Genomic DNA, 2,009 nt, shown 5'->3' with positions numbered 1-2,009 from the left:
TGTCCTCCCGTAGCTCAGAGTAATTTGATCGTCTGAAGCCTTCTTCTCTCAGCTCATCAAAGTCGTTCTCCATCCAGCTTTTTTCCGTTGCTGGTGAGGAACTGCGTTCCTTTGGAGGAGGAGAGGCACTGTGCTTTTTAGAGTTTCCAGTTTTTCTGTTTTGTTTTTTCCCCATCTTTGTGGTTTTATCTACTTTTGGTCTTTGATGATGGTGATGTACAGATGGGTTTTTGGTGTGGATGTCCTTTCTGTTTGTTAGTTTTCCTTCTAACAGACAGGACCCTCAGCTGCAGGTCTGTTGGAGTACCCAGCCGTGTGAGGTGTCAGTGTGCCCCTGCTGGGGGGGTGCCTCCCAGTTAGGCTGCTCAGGGGTCAGGGGTCAGGGACCCACTTGAGGAGGCAGTCTGCCCATTCTCAGATCTCCAGCTGCGTACTTGGAGAACAACTGCTCTCTTCAAAGCTGTCAGACAGGGACATTTAAGTCTGCAGAGGTTACTGCTGTCTTTTTGTTTGTCTGTGCCCTGCCCCCAGAGGTGGAGCCTACAGAGGCAGGCAGGCCTCCTTGAGCTGTGGTGGGCTCCACCCAGTTGGAGCTTTCCAGCTGCTTTGTTTACCTAAGCAAGCCTGGGCAATGGCGGGCGCCCCTCCCACAGCCTCGCTGCCACCTTACAGTTTGATCTCAGACTGCTGTGCTAGCAATCAGTGAGACTCCTTGGGTGTAGGACCCTTCGAGCCAGGTGCGGGATATAATCTCGTGGTGCGCCATTTTTTAAGCCCGTCAGAAAAGCGCAGTATTCGGGTAGGAGTGACCAGATTTTCCAGGTGCCGTCCGTCACCCCTTTCTTTGACTAGGAAAGGGAACTCCCTGACCCCTTGCACTTCCCGAGTGAGGCAATGCCTCACCCTGCGTCGGCTTGCACACGGTGTGCGCACCCACTGACCTGCGCCCACTGTCTGGCACTCCCTAATGAGATGAACCCGGTACCTCAGATGGAAATGCAGAAATCACTCGTCTTCTGTCTTGTGCGTCGCTCACGCTGGGAGCTGTAGACCAGAGCTGTTCCTATTCGGCCATCTTGGCTCCTCCCCCTCTGCCACATTTCTTACTTTTGACCAAGAATTGGCACTGCCTGGGCATCCACCTTGCTACCTTTGGGCAAGTTTGGCCTGTATCCCCCGTACCTGCAGATAAAGTCTTTCACCAGCTACACTGATGACAAAAATGGCTTCTGAAAAAATATCAAGACCAGATTAATCAGGGTGGCCAATTCAAGCCTAGTCTGTTTTTGTTTTGACAAGCCACATAAGAATGTTGGGAGGTACAGCTGTGTCCTCTTATGAGAGGAGAAAGATAAATACCATTAAAAGGCAATTAATACATTCAGTCAATCAACTAATCACTGTTTATTGAGCACCTACTATGTGCCAAAGATTCTACTAGGTAATGGGGTATTTGAATAAAACATGTCATCTCATCAAATACAACAGCAAAGGATTTCTTTACATGCAGGCTTATCTTTTTTTAATGTTTTTAATAATGATTCCCAGAACTGCTCATCTACTGTTTGTTAGGGATAAACAAACCAGTTAAAAATAAAAGGGGAGAGCCAACTAGAATTTCTGCCCAGATTTTGAGCCAAAGCTTGTTTTTCAAAGAGCTTCCTCACCTTACAAGTCTCGTCCAAATCTCCTAATTCTCCTTTCTTCACTCCAGTCTAGAAACATACACAAAAACTCTATGTTATGAAAAAGAAATGTGTAGGGAGAAAGAAAATTCAACTCATGAGCAGGCTAGACTTGCAAAAGTATCCCTGACTCAGTGAACCATAGTATAGGTTGGTGGTTGCTGAAACAACCTGGATATGGGATTCAGCTCCACAAAACTCTAGATGTGGTGAATAAGGGGTCACTGCAGAGTAAACCAGGATTGAACCAACCAAATCTTTATAATTTCCCTGACTCTAGCTCTTCAGAGAACAGCCCCTTTGACCAGTCTCTTCACCCAATAC

The 2,009-nt window shown here is 47.2% G+C and overlaps 1 annotated feature.

Annotated features, from left to right (window-relative positions):
• Positions 746–1,247: an enhancer, noted in NCBI's record as "H3K4me1 hESC enhancer chr10:111585419-111585920 (GRCh37/hg19 assembly coordinates)". NCBI's record gives its function as "activates a minimal SCP1, AML or CMV promoter by ChIP-STARR-seq in primed H9 embryonic stem cells {active_cell/tissue: H9 hESC(primed)}" and the evidence as "EXISTENCE:reporter gene assay evidence [ECO:0000049][PMID:30033119]".

Source organism: Homo sapiens, chromosome 10, assembly GCF_000001405.40.
Source record: "Homo sapiens chromosome 10, GRCh38.p14 Primary Assembly".
NCBI lineage: Eukaryota > Metazoa > Chordata > Mammalia > Primates > Hominidae > Homo > Homo sapiens.
This window is presented reverse-complemented; position numbering and strand designations above follow the sequence as displayed.